Source organism: Homo sapiens, chromosome 13 (genome assembly GCF_000001405.40).
Source record: "Homo sapiens chromosome 13, GRCh38.p14 Primary Assembly".
NCBI lineage: Eukaryota > Metazoa > Chordata > Mammalia > Primates > Hominidae > Homo > Homo sapiens.
The window spans coordinates 19,826,456-19,840,205 of NC_000013.11; the positions used below are offsets into that span (position 1 = coordinate 19,826,456).

The 13,750-nt window shown below is 41.6% G+C and overlaps 1 protein-coding gene across 15 annotated transcripts in view; it reads right to left on the reverse strand.

Annotated features, from left to right (window-relative positions):
• Positions 1–13,750, reverse strand: part of ZMYM5 (zinc finger MYM-type containing 5) — a 40,168-nt gene that overhangs the window by 2,974 nt on the left and 23,444 nt on the right. For 5 of the 15 annotated variants that reach the window (XM_047430769.1, XM_047430768.1, XM_011535310.3 and 2 more), the window contains one exon: positions 9,022–9,234. In XM_047430769.1, coding sequence (XP_047286725.1) covers positions 9,022–9,234 — 213 coding nt within the window. Of the gene's footprint in view, positions 1–9,021; positions 9,235–11,008; positions 11,367–12,244; positions 12,531–13,750 lie in introns of those variants that run through there. The other 10 variants (XM_005266594.4, NM_001142684.2, XM_006719894.4 and 7 more) reach the window with 4 other exon arrangements.

Here is a 13,750-nt window from a genome sequence, read left to right on the forward strand (position 1 = left end):
AAAAATATATGGACACACAGGCCAGGCATGGTGGCGCACGCCTGTAATCTCAGCACTTTGGGAGGCCGAGGTGGGGGGATCACGAGGTCAGGAGTTCGAGACCGGCCTAACCAAGATGGTGAAAACCTGATTCTACTAAAAATACAAAAATTAGCTGGGCATGGTGGCGGGCACCTGTAATCCCAGCTACTCGGGAGGCTGAGGCAGAACACTGCTTGAACACGGGAGACAGAGGTTGCAGTGAGCCAAGATCTCGCCACTGCACTCCAGCCTGGGCGACAGGAGGGAGACTCCGTCTCGTTAAAAAAAAAAAAAAAAAACTGTGTCCACACAAAAACTTAGACCCAAATGTTCATGGTAATATTACTCATAATAGCCAAAAAGTAGAAACAACTCAAATGTCCCATCACAGATGAAAGAATAGATAAAAATACAGTATTATCCATGCAATGGATAAAAACAAATGAAGTTCTGATGTATGCTACAACATGGGAAAAAATTGAAAATAGTATGACACATGAATAAACTAGTTGCGAAGTACTTGTGTGATTCTATTTATGTGAAATGTTACAGAAGAGGCAAATTTATAGGCAGAAGATAGACTAACAGTTGCCTAGAACTTTGGAGGAGTTGGAGTTGAAAGGGGAACTGTTAATAAATAGGGGGTTTATTTTGGGGATGATGAAAATGTTCTAAGATTGGTGAATTTTAGGGCATGTTAATTACATCTCAATAAAGTGTTTATAAAAATTAATGTGAAAGTCACTAAAATTTAACAGCAATTAACTTTAATGGTGAAATTTTCATAAATAATTCCTTCAATACATGGGCCCAAACACACACAAATATGAAGAGAGAGCTCTAATTCAGGTATACATAATACTTTGTTCATCAATTATTAATGACAAGTGATTACTTTTTAAATAGGTCATAAATACTTAGGGATTTAAAGTGAGAACTAAGCATACTATTTTAATCCACTAATACAAAGAACATTTTTAAAATTTGATTTTAATTGAAACAATGTGCTTAAAAAGCAGCTCCTTGCTCAAAAACAGACCATTTAGATGTTGCTAGATTAACACTGTAAATTCAAAGTAGTATGTATGTTTATTAACATTGTTAGATGAGGTCACCATATCTGTCAGAAATTTAATTTTTATTTTGTTTTTGAACATTTTACTACCATTTACTGAAATATGTTGTAATAAAGACACATTACCTATTTTGGTGTCAATAAAATTATAATAAAAAAACTAAAAAGATTTAACATAATAAAGATGTATAAAATGTGGGCTGGGCACGGTGGCTCACGCCTGTAATCCCAGCACTTTGGGAGGCTGAGGCGGGCGGATCACGAGGTCAGGAGATCGAGACCATGGTGAAACCCCGTCTCTACTAAAAATACAGAAAGTTAGCCAGGCGTAGTGGTGGGCGCCTGTAGTCCCAGCTACTCGGGAGGCTGAGGCAAGAGAATGGCATGAACCCGGGAGGCGGAGATTGCAGTGAGCCGAGATTGCGCCACTGCACTCCAGCCTGGGCGACAGAGCGAGACTCCATCTCAAAAAAAAAAAAAAAAAAAAAAAGATGTATAAAATGTGAATGGCATCCTATTAGCTATACACAACACAACTTGAGTACCATATGCAATGCAGTGAAAGAAAATAAAAATGGACTTGTTCTGTTTCATTCTGAAAGTAATGTGGCAGCTTTAAAGTAAAAAATGCAGAGGTGTGGGCCAGGTGCGGTGGCTCACGCCTGTAATCCCAGGACTTTGAGAGGCCAAGGCGGGTGGATCACCTGAGGTCAGGAGTTCAAGACCAGCCTGGCCAACATGGTGAAACCCTGTTTCTACTAAAAATACAAAAATTAGCCAGGAGTGGTGGCGCGCACCTGTAATCCCAGCTACTCAGGAGGCTGAGGCAGGAGAATCGCTTGAACCTGGGAGGTGGAGGTTGCAGTGAGCTGAGATCGTGCCATTGCACTCCAGCCTGGGAGACAGAGTGAGACTCTGTCTCCAATCAATCAATCAATGCAGAGATGTGATATGATCCAATAAATAAATGCAGAGATGTGACATGATCAAATTTGTACTTTGGAAAGATTGCTCTAATTGTATTATGAATTCCCAACCTTATGTAAGGAAGGAAGAGGCACAGAGATCAGTCAAGAAACTATAGTAGTAATTCTGGCAAAAGATGATGTTAGCTATGTCTAGGATTATAGCAGTAGAGATAGGAGTTGAGAAGTGCTCAGGAAGTAGAATTTGGATTAGTTGGTAATTGATTGGCTCTAGGGGCTAAGGAAGAAAGAAGAGTAAACAATGACCCTAAGTTTCTGAATGGGCATTTGGGTGGATGGTGGCTTCATTTACTGATATGGGAAACAAAGGAAACCAGGTTTGGAGGTTCAGTTTTCAACACAATGAGTTTGACTTTCAATGATGGATGGCATATAAGGCGGTGGTCCCCTAAGAGTATAATGGAGCTGAAAAATTCCTATCACCTAGCCGAGTGTGGTGGCACATGCCTGCAGTCCCAGCTACTCAGGAGGCTAAGGTGGGAGGATCACTTGAGCTGGAAGTTGCAGTGAGCAGAGCTCAAGCCACTGCACAGCAGCCTGGGTGACAGAGGGAGAGACCCTGTCTCCAACAAACAAAACAAAACAAAAAAAACCAGATACATTTAGTATAAAACACCAACTAGTCATGCCAGGTTAATTAAAACAAATAGGAGTCCCTTACCACCTCTACCCATTTCCCCTTTACCAGAAGCTAACCACTTACAACCTTTTAAAATAAAAATAAAACAATTTTTTAAATATATACCATTAAAAAAAATAAATATATTTTGAGATAGTCTCGCTCTGTCATTCAGGCCGGAGTGCAGTGATGAAATCATGGTTCACTCACTCGCAGCCGTGACCTCCCAGGCTCAAGTGATCCTCCGAGCTCAGCCTCCCAAGTAGCTGGGACCACAGGGGCATGCCACGCCAGCTAATTTTTAAGTTTTTTTTGTAGAGACAGGGGTCTCACCATGTTGCTGAGGTTGGTCTTGAACTCCTGGGCTCAAGCAATCCTCTTGCCTCAGCTTCCCAAAGTGCTGGGATTACAGACATAAGCCATTACGCCTGGCAAACAATTTTTTTGAGACAAGGCCTTGCTTTGTTGCCCAGGAGGAGTACAGTGGCTATTCACAGGTATGATCCTAGTGCACTGTAGCCTCAAACGCCTGGGCTCAATTGACCCTCTCGCCTCAGTCTTTCTAGTAGCTAGTATTGTAGGTGCACACCACCATGCCCAGCACTTACATAACTTTTCTAGCTGATTCTTCGGTTATTTCCAAATCTCAAAGTTACTTGTTTGTATCACTATTTACTGACTTTTTTTTCCTCCCAGCTTTAGGTATCATCAATTGACTTCTCAATGAGGAAGATGAAAATTTTGCTTTCCTTCCTCTTACCATGCTCACCATACACACTCAACACCCATCCACTTATCTTTAGTTGCAGGATTTCTTGGACAAGATGATTATTTGTTGTGAGAACTGTGCTGTGCACTGCAGATGTTTAGCAGCACCTCTGGACTCTATCCACTAGAGTCCAGCAGCACCCCTCAGGTGTGAGTCACAGATGTTTCTAGACATTGCCAAATGTCCCCATGGGGACAAAAATCATCCCTGATTGAGAAGCACTGGCTTAGATCAAGATTCTGTCTACATTTTATGACGTGTATGTTATTCAGCAATAAGCTACTAAGTGCAAGATTTCAGTTTTTTTCTTATGTGTTGGCCTTTTCAGAAGGCTGTCACTTATCACTTGAAAATACTCATGTGTTTGGGGTGGAGTGGGGAAGCACATTTATAAAATGTAAAACATTCTGATTATACAGAAATATCATGCCTATATTTGGCAACTATTAATTAATTTATTATTTTTTGAGACAGGGTCTTACTCCGTTGCTCAGGTTGAAGTGCAGTGACGTGATCTCGGCTCACTGCAACCTCTGCCTCCTGGGCTCAAGTGATCCTCCCACCTCAGCTTTCCAAGTACCTGGGACTACTGGTATGAACCACCATGCCTGGCTAACATATAATTTTTGAGACAGTCTCACACTGTCACCCAGGCTGGAGTGCAGTGGCACCATCTTGGCTCACTGCAACCTCCGCCTCCCAGGTTCAAGCGATTCTCCTGCCTCAGCCGCCCAAGCAGCTGGGACTACAGGTATGTGTCACCACACCTGGCTAATTTTTTGTAGAGACAGGGGCTCACCATGTTGCCCAGGCTGGTCTCAAACTCCTGAGCTCAAGCGATCCACTCGCCTCAGCCTCCACAGGCATGAGACACCTCGCCCGGCCTTTGCCAACTGTTTATGAGTTACTTTTTCTTTTTTTTTTTTTTTTTTGAGACAGAGTCTCGCACTGTCCCCCAGGCTGGAGTGCAGTGGCATGATCTCGGCTCACTGCAAGCTCCGCCTCCCAAGTTCTCGCCATTCTCCTGTCTCAGCCTCCAGGGTAGTTGGGACTACAGGTGCCTGCCACCACGCCCGGCTAATTTTTTGTATGTTTAGTAGAGACAGGGTTTCACCGTGTTAGCCAGGATGGTCTTGATCTCCTGACCCGCCTTGGCCTTCCAAAGTGCTGGGATTACAGGCGTGAGCCACCACACCCAGCCTATTTTTTTTTTTTTTTTGAGACAAGGTCTTGCTCTGTCACCCAGGCTGGAGTGCAATGTCATAATCACAGCTCACTGCAGTCTTGACCTCCCAAGCTCAGGCCATCCTTTCACCTCAGGCTCCCAAACAGCTGGGACTACAGCCATGTGTCACCATGCCTGCTAATTTTTAATTTTTTGTAGAGATGGGGTCTCACTATGTTGCCCAGGCTGCTCTCCAACTCCTGGGCTCAAGCAATCCTCTTGCCTCTGCCTCCCAAAGTACTGGGGTTACAGGTGTGAGCCACTGTGCCCCACTGAGTTACTCTGTATTACTGAAATACACATGGTAGAATGAGCACTTTATTCTAGGGATCAGAATAGCAAGCAAGTTATTTAAGAAAATCTAGGCCAGGCGTGGTAGCTCACACCTGTATTCCCAACACTTTGGGAGCCGAGGCAGGCAGATTACCTGAAGTCAGGAGTTCAAGACCAGTCTGGCCAACATGGTGAAACCCCGTCCGTCTCTACCAAAAATACAAAAATTAGCAGGGCATGGTGATGCGCACCTGTAATCCCAGCTACTTGGGAGGCTGAGGCAGGAGAATCGCTTGAAGCGGGAGGTGGAGGTTATAGTGAGCTGAGATCGTCCAGCCTGGGTGACAGAGAGAGACTCTGTCTCAAAAAAAAAAAAAAAAAAAAAAAAAAACCATATGTATAGGTGTATGTCTGCCTAGTTTGACTATGCATATTTCTTCTTTTGTTTTTGAGATGGAGTCTTGCTCTGTCACCCAGGCTGGAGTACAGTGGCGTGATCTCGGCTCACTGCAACCTCCGCCTCCCAGGTTCAAGCGATTCTCTTGCCTCAGCCTCCTGAGTAGCTGGGATTACAGGTGTTCACCACCACGGCCTGGCTAACTTTTTGTATTTTTTGTAGAAACGGAGTTTCACCATGTTGGCCAGGCTGGTCTCGAACTTCTGACCTCAGGTGATCTGCCACCCTTGGCCTCCTAAAGTGCTGGGATTACAGGCGTGAGGCACCCTGCCTGGCTTATTTCTTCATTTTTACCTCCTCTTTTGGTGCCTATTTAGTAGTAAAAAATTTATAATCTACGTGTAATTCTTACGCTTTTTGGAGGATAAGCATTATGGTATTTCTCTGAAGCTTATGAGCTCACAACCTTTAACTTAGCAAGAACTCAGACACAGGTAAATCATCCTTTTTTTGTTGTTGTTGTTGAGACAGAGTCTTGCTCTGTTGCCCAGGCTGGAGTGCAGTGGCATGATCTCGGCCCACTGCAACCTCCACCTCCCAGGTTCAAGTGATTCTCTTTCCTCAGCCTCCCGAGTAGTTGGGATTACAGGCACACAACACCACGCCTGCCTAATTTTTGCCTTTTTAGTAGAGACAGGGTTTCACTATGTTGGCCAGGCTGGTCTCGAACTCCTGAACTCAAGTGATCCGCCCGCCTTGGCCTCCCAATGTCATGGATTACAGACATGAGCCACCACACCCAGCCTAAATCATCCATTTAAGAAATAAAAAAGGCTTGGAAAATATTAAGACTTAATATAGTTTTTATTTCCAAATTAGAAGGTCAGTAGGTTACTTTTGTCATGTAACTGTCTTTGAAAAGACAATTTAACAATATTAAGTCTTTTTAAATTTCGTTTTGTTAAAGATAGTCTCATTCTGTTGCCCAGGGTGGAGTGTAATGGTGCAATCATAGCTCACTCACCTCAGTCTCCTGAGGAGCTAGAACTACGAGTGTACAACCACCATATCTGGCTAATTAAAAAAATTGTTTTGTAGAGATGGGGTCTTACTATGTTGCCCACGTTGGTCTCCAACTCCTGGACTAGTGCCATCCTCCCATCTTGGCCTCCCAAAGTGCTAGGATTACAGGCACGTACCACCGTGCCTGGACCTTTCTATTTGTTAATGTTCATTGTGTTCTTCTATAAACCAAAAGCTTTCTTAAATATTAGGTGCAATATATGTAAAGAAAAAATAATTTAACATAAATAAGGTTTTCTTGCAAAAATAAACAGAAAAGTCAACTATGGGTATCCACTGTTTCTCCTGTTCGATAAAAGCCTAGCAATTCAGGGTTACTTTCCCTTGAAGCTAACCAATTAAATTCTCATCCAGTGAAATGGGGGTTAAGAATATTTCCAGTTTTACATTATGATCTATCTTAATTTTTGTGTATGCAATGAAAAGGGGTCAAGGCTCATTTATTTCCACACAAACAAAAAATTATTTCAGCATAATTTGTTAAAAAATCTTGTTTTTCCCATCAGAATAATTTGGTACCTTCTTGAAAAATCTACTATGTGGTTCTATTTCTGGACTATCTTCTATTTCACTGATCTCTGTTAGCCCATTTGTTTATATACCAAACCATACTGCCTTGATTATTGCAGCATTTTAATGTCTTAAAGTCAGGAAGTTGATAATTCTTTAACCCACATCTAACACCATATACAAAATTAATTCAAAATGAATCACAGGCCTAAAAAATAAAAGCTAAAACTGAAAAGATTCTAGAAGGAAATGTAGGAAAATATCTTTGTAATTTTGGTGGGCAAAGATTCCTTAAATACACAAAAACTATTAATCACAAGAGAAGCAAATAATAAATAGGACTTATAAAAATTAAAATCTTGTACTTTTCAAAAGTAATATTAGGAAAACAAAACAAAACATTAAGAAAATGAAAAGACAAATCAGTCTGAAAGAAAATCTTCCGGCCAGGCACAATGGCTCATGCCTATAATCCCAGTACTTTGGGAAGCTGAGGTGGGAGTACTGCTTGAACCCAGGAGTTCGAGACCAGCCTGGGCAACATATTGAGACCCACCTGTATTTCCTTTTTCTTTTTTTTGAGACAGAGCGTTGCTCTTGCTGCCCAGGCTGGAGCGCAATGGCGCAATCTCCGCTCACTGCAACCTCCACCTCCCAGGTTCAAGCGATTCTCCTGCCTCAGCCTCCAGAGTAGCTGGGATTACAGGTGCCAGCCACCATGCCCGGCTTATTTTTTTTGTATTTAGTAGAGACGGGGTTTCGCCACGTTGGTCAGGCTGGTCTCCAACTCCTGACCTTAGGTGATCCATCCGCCTTGGCCTCCCAAAGTGCTGGGATTACAGGCGTGAGCCACCACGTCCAGCCTATTTTTTCTTTTAAAAAAAAAACAGAAGAAAAAAAATTTTTTTCCAAATATATTTATTTTATAAAATACATGTATCCAGAATAATACCAAGGACTCCTACAACTCAGTAACAAAAAGAATTCAATAAAAAATGGGCTGAAGACCTGATAGACAAAACAGACAACTACCACATTTTAATTTTTTTTTTTTTGTAGAGACAGGGTCTGGCTATGTTGACCAGGCCGGTCTTGAACTCCTGGCCTCAGCTGATTCTCCCACCTGGGCCTCCCAAAGTGCAGGGATTACAGGCGTGAAGCACCTCACCTGGCTCCAAATTTTGGTCAGAATGTAGAGCAACTAGAATTATCAAGTGCTTAGTGGGAGTGCTAAATGGTACAGAAGAAAAATTAGTCTTTTAAATTCATCCAGGAGTAACCTTTTTCTTTTTTTTGAGACAGAGTCTTGCTCTGTCACCCCGGCTGGAATGCAGTGGCATGATCTCGGGTTTGCAACCTCTGCCTACCAGGTTCAAGTGATTCCTATGCCTCAGCTTCCCAAGTAGCTGGGATTACAGGCACACACCAACTCGCCTGGCTAATTTTTGTATTTTTAGTAGACAGGGGGTTTTGTCATGTTGCCCAGTCTGGTTTCAAAATCCTGGCCCCAAGTGATCTGCCTGCCTTGGCCAAAGTGCTGGGATTACAAGTGTTAGCCACTGTGCCTGATCATTTTCTTTCTTTTTTTTTTTTTTTGAGACAGGCTTTCGCTCTGTTGCCTAGTTGGAGTGCAGTGGTACAATCATAGTTCACTGTAGCCTCAATCTCCCAGGTTCAAGCAATACTTACACCTCAGCTTCCAAAGTAGCTGAGACTACAGGCACATGCCATCATGCCTGCGGCTAATTCTAAAAAATTTTTAGTAGAGATTACGTCTCACTATGCTGCCCAGGATGGTCTCAAGCTCCTGAGCTCAAGCAATCCTCCCACCTCAGCCTCCCAAAATGATGGAATTACACAAGTGAGTCACTGCACCCAGCCCAAAGAAAATTTTTAAAACAAGCTTACAACAATCTTAGACTTGAATATTTGAGATGGGACAAACCAATGACAGAATGGCAAAATGGAATTAAATGAGATTCTAAGATAAATCCGGTTCATGTAAGATGTAAGGGTGAAGCTACTATATATTTGATCATTTAAAGCTCATGAAAAAGAATTACCTGTTTATATTCGTTAATACAACTTTGGCAGCAAAATCTCTTCTGCTGACCTCCAATCACCAGGATGTTGTTTCCAGTACTCTTACTAGGCATGTACTCTCCACAGTGTTCACAGCAGTTCATTATTAGACCATTGGCCAATCTGTACTTATTAAAGCAATGGTTACTGCACAGTTTATGTGTTACATTATTTACGCTGACTTCATGGCGAATCTAAAAGAAAAACCAGAATTCATTAACTAAGATATATGAACCAGATTAGCATAGCAAGCAATGAGATAACTAGTTTCTGCAATAGAAGCAAAGAATCCCTAATCATATCTCAGAGGAAGATATACCCAGGGAAAAGATTTTTTTTTTTTTCTGAGATAGAGTCTCACTCTGTCACTCAGGCTGGAGTGCAGTGGCACAATCTCGGCTCACTGCAACCTCTGCCTCCCATGTTCAAGCGATTCTCCTGCCTCAGCCTCCCAAGTAGCTGGGATTACAGGCGCCCGCCACCACGCCCAGCTAATTTTTTTATTTTTAGTAGAGACGGGGTTTCACCACGTTGGCCAGGCTGGTATCGAACTCCTGACCTCAAGTGATCTGCCCGCCTTGGCCTCCCAACATGCTGGGATTACAGGCATGAGCCACCATGCCTAGCTGGGAAAAGATTTTTAAAAAGCATATTTTATTTTTTCCTTTATTTGTAAGATCACTTTGATTTCACAAAAGAGGACAAGATTCATAGGAAAGCAATAAAATCAATAATAACTTCCCTAAAGACATTTAATAACAACAGATAATGAACTTTTTTTTTTTTTTTGAGACAAGTTTTTGCTATGTTGCCCTGGGCTCGAATTCCTGGTCTCAAGCAAGCCCTCTACTCATGCCTCCTGAATAGCCCAGATTACAGGCTTGCAGCACCACACCTGACTTTGGTTTAGAAGATTTTGACATGACCCGCTTAAAGGAAATGGGTCAACAATCTTTTTTTTTCTTTTGATAGTGTCTCTTGCTTTATCACCCTGGCTGGAAAGCAGTGGTACAATCATAGCTCACTCCACCTCAAACTCCTGGACTCCAGTGATTGTCCTGTCTCAGCCTCCTAAGCAGTTGGGATTATATGTATGAGTCACTCATCAACAAGGATCAACAATTTTTAGATGGTATTGTAAGTAAAGTTCACTGCCCTAGAACATTTGTGGAGGGAGCTAAGGGAATCAATATTATCTGTATTCAGGATCGTGTCTGTATAACCAGAAGCAGGGTAGTTCTCACTGTGGTAACTGAGATAAAATCATGTTCTTGATATGCATGACTCAGGGGTAACCAACACCAAATTTAGTTACCAAAGACTTTTATAAAGTGAGGACTGCCTGCATGCATGTTTCTTCTCTTCTAGGAAATGGGAAGATTGCAATATCACTGAATGTTAAGCAAACAGCATACATTCACTCCACTTGTTCCATGTGTTCTTGTACCGGGATCTGCTGCTTTCTAATTTTAACTTTTAGATTCAGGGAATACATGTGCAGGTTTGTTAGATGGGTATGTTGTTTTTTGTTTTTTTTTTTTTCTTTCTTTTTTTGAGACAGAGTCTTGCTCTATCACCCAGGCTGGAGTACAGTGGCGCAATCTCAGCTCACTGCAGCCTCCGCCTCCCTGGTTCAAGCGATTCTCCTGCCTCAGCCTCCCAAGTAGCTTGCGCCACCACACCCAGCTAATTTTTGTATTTTTAGTAGAGATTGGGTTTCACCCTGTTGGCCAGGTTGGTCTCGAACTCCTGACTTCAAGATATCCACCTGCCTCGGCCTCCCAAAGTGCTGGGATTACAGATGTGAGCCACCACGTCCGGCCCCAAGGGGTAGTTTTCCAGCCCTTGACCCCCAACTCTTGAGACTACATTTTTATTTAATGTCATCAGTAATAACAAAATCCACCATAAAACAATTGCCTTGTTTATGAGCACAACAATTCCATAGAAACAGATGTGTACTTTCCATGCTATGCAAATGGAATTTTATTTATAAAATATCCCATAAGATAGTTCTAACATATCCTTATTCTTCCTTTCAGCTTCATGTTATACATCCAGAACACGTGCATTATGTAGATGAAAGAGTACATAATAGCACTTAAAAGTTAAAATTATCACTGTTAGCCTAAACAACAACTTAGGTATAAAAATCCAGACCTCTGCTAATTTACTACAAATTGTACATCTTGACTTATTAAAAACTCCTTTTTTAAGATTCCAGTTGTTTTCACAGGGAGACAAACAAGATGTACTATAAAATTCTTGGAAGGATTTGCTTGATTCTACTGGAAGAATGACATTAGCCTTCTTTGTAGATGCATCTCTGAAACAGAAGGGATAGACACATAATTTAAGAACACTGAATTTTAATACAAGTCAAATATATTAATAATAATTGCCATTTTTCATTTTCTTATGATTTAATACTAGAAATCAAGTATAACTTTTAGATGCAGCAAATCCACTTTTGGCTTTATTGCCAAGAGTTCTTAAATGATACAGAAAGAGAAGAGTCAGAGATAAAAATCTTTCGTAGCACAAGAACCTTGCCACAAGTTTTTAAGATTTTTAGATGCATTCAAAAATGCTGGTAATAGGCTGGGCACAGTAGCTCACACCTGTAATTCCAGCACTTTGGGAGGCTGAAGTGGGCAGATCACTTGAGGTCAGGAGTTCGAGACCAGCCTGGCCAAAATGATGAAACCCTGTCTCTACTAAAAATACAAAAAATTAGCTGGGCGTGGTGGCGCGCACCTGTAATCCCAGCTACTCGGGAGGCTGAGGCAGGAGAATCGCTTGAACCTGGGAGGTGGAAGTTGCAGTGAGTGGAAATCGTGCCACTGCACTCCAGCCTGGGCAACAGAGTGAGACTCCGTCTCAAAAACAAACCAACAAACCAAAATGCTGGTAATAAATTCATAGAACTAAGGTGTTAAGATGGGGGAGCAGGGGAGGCAAATGTAGTAGCAGGGAGAGGGGCAATTGATTTCCAAACCTATGTTCCATTTTTCTGCCGAGAGTAAATACAGCACATACGAGTCCACAGCTTGGATATATTCTAGGAGCTCAAGCTCAATAAACTTGAAGACACTCCTGCAACAATTCTACCCATAAATCTATCCAGCTCTGCAGTTATATTGAGTACTTATTTATACCATTAGTATTCAACTATGTGGAGAAATGTTGAAAGGTACTGCTTACTTTTTACATATTATGCTTCGTGTGTTTTGAGTACGTTTATGAGAGAAGGAAGAAAGGCAGGTGGTAGAGCAAAAGAGGTGAGCTGATCCTTTTCGTTGATAAGCTGTCTGTCCCTTCTGTAAAGGCTTTTTGCAATTTGCACAAGTGATTTTAGCTGGTTTAGTAAGTTGTTGTTGGGCTGTAGGCTGGAAATTCTGCTTACGAAGTAAGGCCACTGGTGATAAAGAATCCACCCCTGGCTGTTTCTGATTACTGGGAAATGAAGCTGACTGGGAGATCCAAGAATCTTAAAAATGAAACAAGAAAAAAATCATGGAACAAATCAAAATGTACATCAGAAAAATAACTTGCATTTTCATTTAAGAGTTTAAGAGACAAGTGGGGCAGGCGTATAAACATGTGGTTAAGGCCAAACACTCTTGATGCACAATCCCAGGGGGACTATCCACTTTGTATCTCAAGTGAATGATACTCCACTGTGCCAACAATAATAATAAAGTAAATGTTGGCGTCTGGAATTGTGTAATGTGGTAGCCATCGGCTCTTAAGTCAGACTCCAGGTTCAAAGATCTCCTGAATGTAATATTATACAAATATACTAATTGATGATACCTAACTCATCAGAGTGCTATGAAGAACACATGACATAAAAGTAATGCCTGGCACACAGGCACACTCAAAAAATATTAGCTACTTTTTTTTTTTTTGAGACAGAATCTCGCTCTTTCTCCCAGACCGGAGTGCAATGGCACAATCTCGGTTCACTGCTACCTCTGCCCCCCAGGTTCAAGCGATTTTCCTGCCTCAGCCTCCCGAGTAGCTGGGATTACCCAGCTAAATTTTTTTTTCTATTTTTAGTAGAGAGGGTGTTTCACTATGTTGGCCAGGCTGGTCACGGACTCCTGGCCTCAAGTAATCCACCTGCCTCAGCCTCCCAAAGTGCTGGCATTACAGGCGTGAGCCACCACTCCCAGCCTAATCACATCTTTCTGTCTACTCATACCACTAAACAATCAATCCATCTCTTTCTATGTATTTCAAGTAAATTGTAGACATTAGTACACTTACTTTCAAAATACTTTAGACGCAGTAGTTTAATATAAATCTATTATTATTTCCCAGCCTTCTAAAATATTACTTATCAGGCATTAATATAGATTGTGGATTACTCAGGAAAAACTCAGCTTTCCTAACCTTACATAGCAACTGCAGTATCATAAATTACTGTTAGCTTCAAAAGGTACAGTATTACTTATAGGCGAGATCCTTCTCAAACTTTATTGTGCATATTAAATCACTTGGGAATCTTGTTTAAATGGAGATTCTAAATTAGTAGGTCTGAGAAGAAATCTGATACTCTGCATTTCTAACCAACTCTCAGATGATGGTGAAGCTTTGAGAAACAAGGTTCTATGATAAAGAATTATTTTGTAATCTATCTTCAAAAACAGCTTTTGGACAGGTGAGGTGGCTCATGCCTATAATCCCAGCACTTTGGGAGGCTAA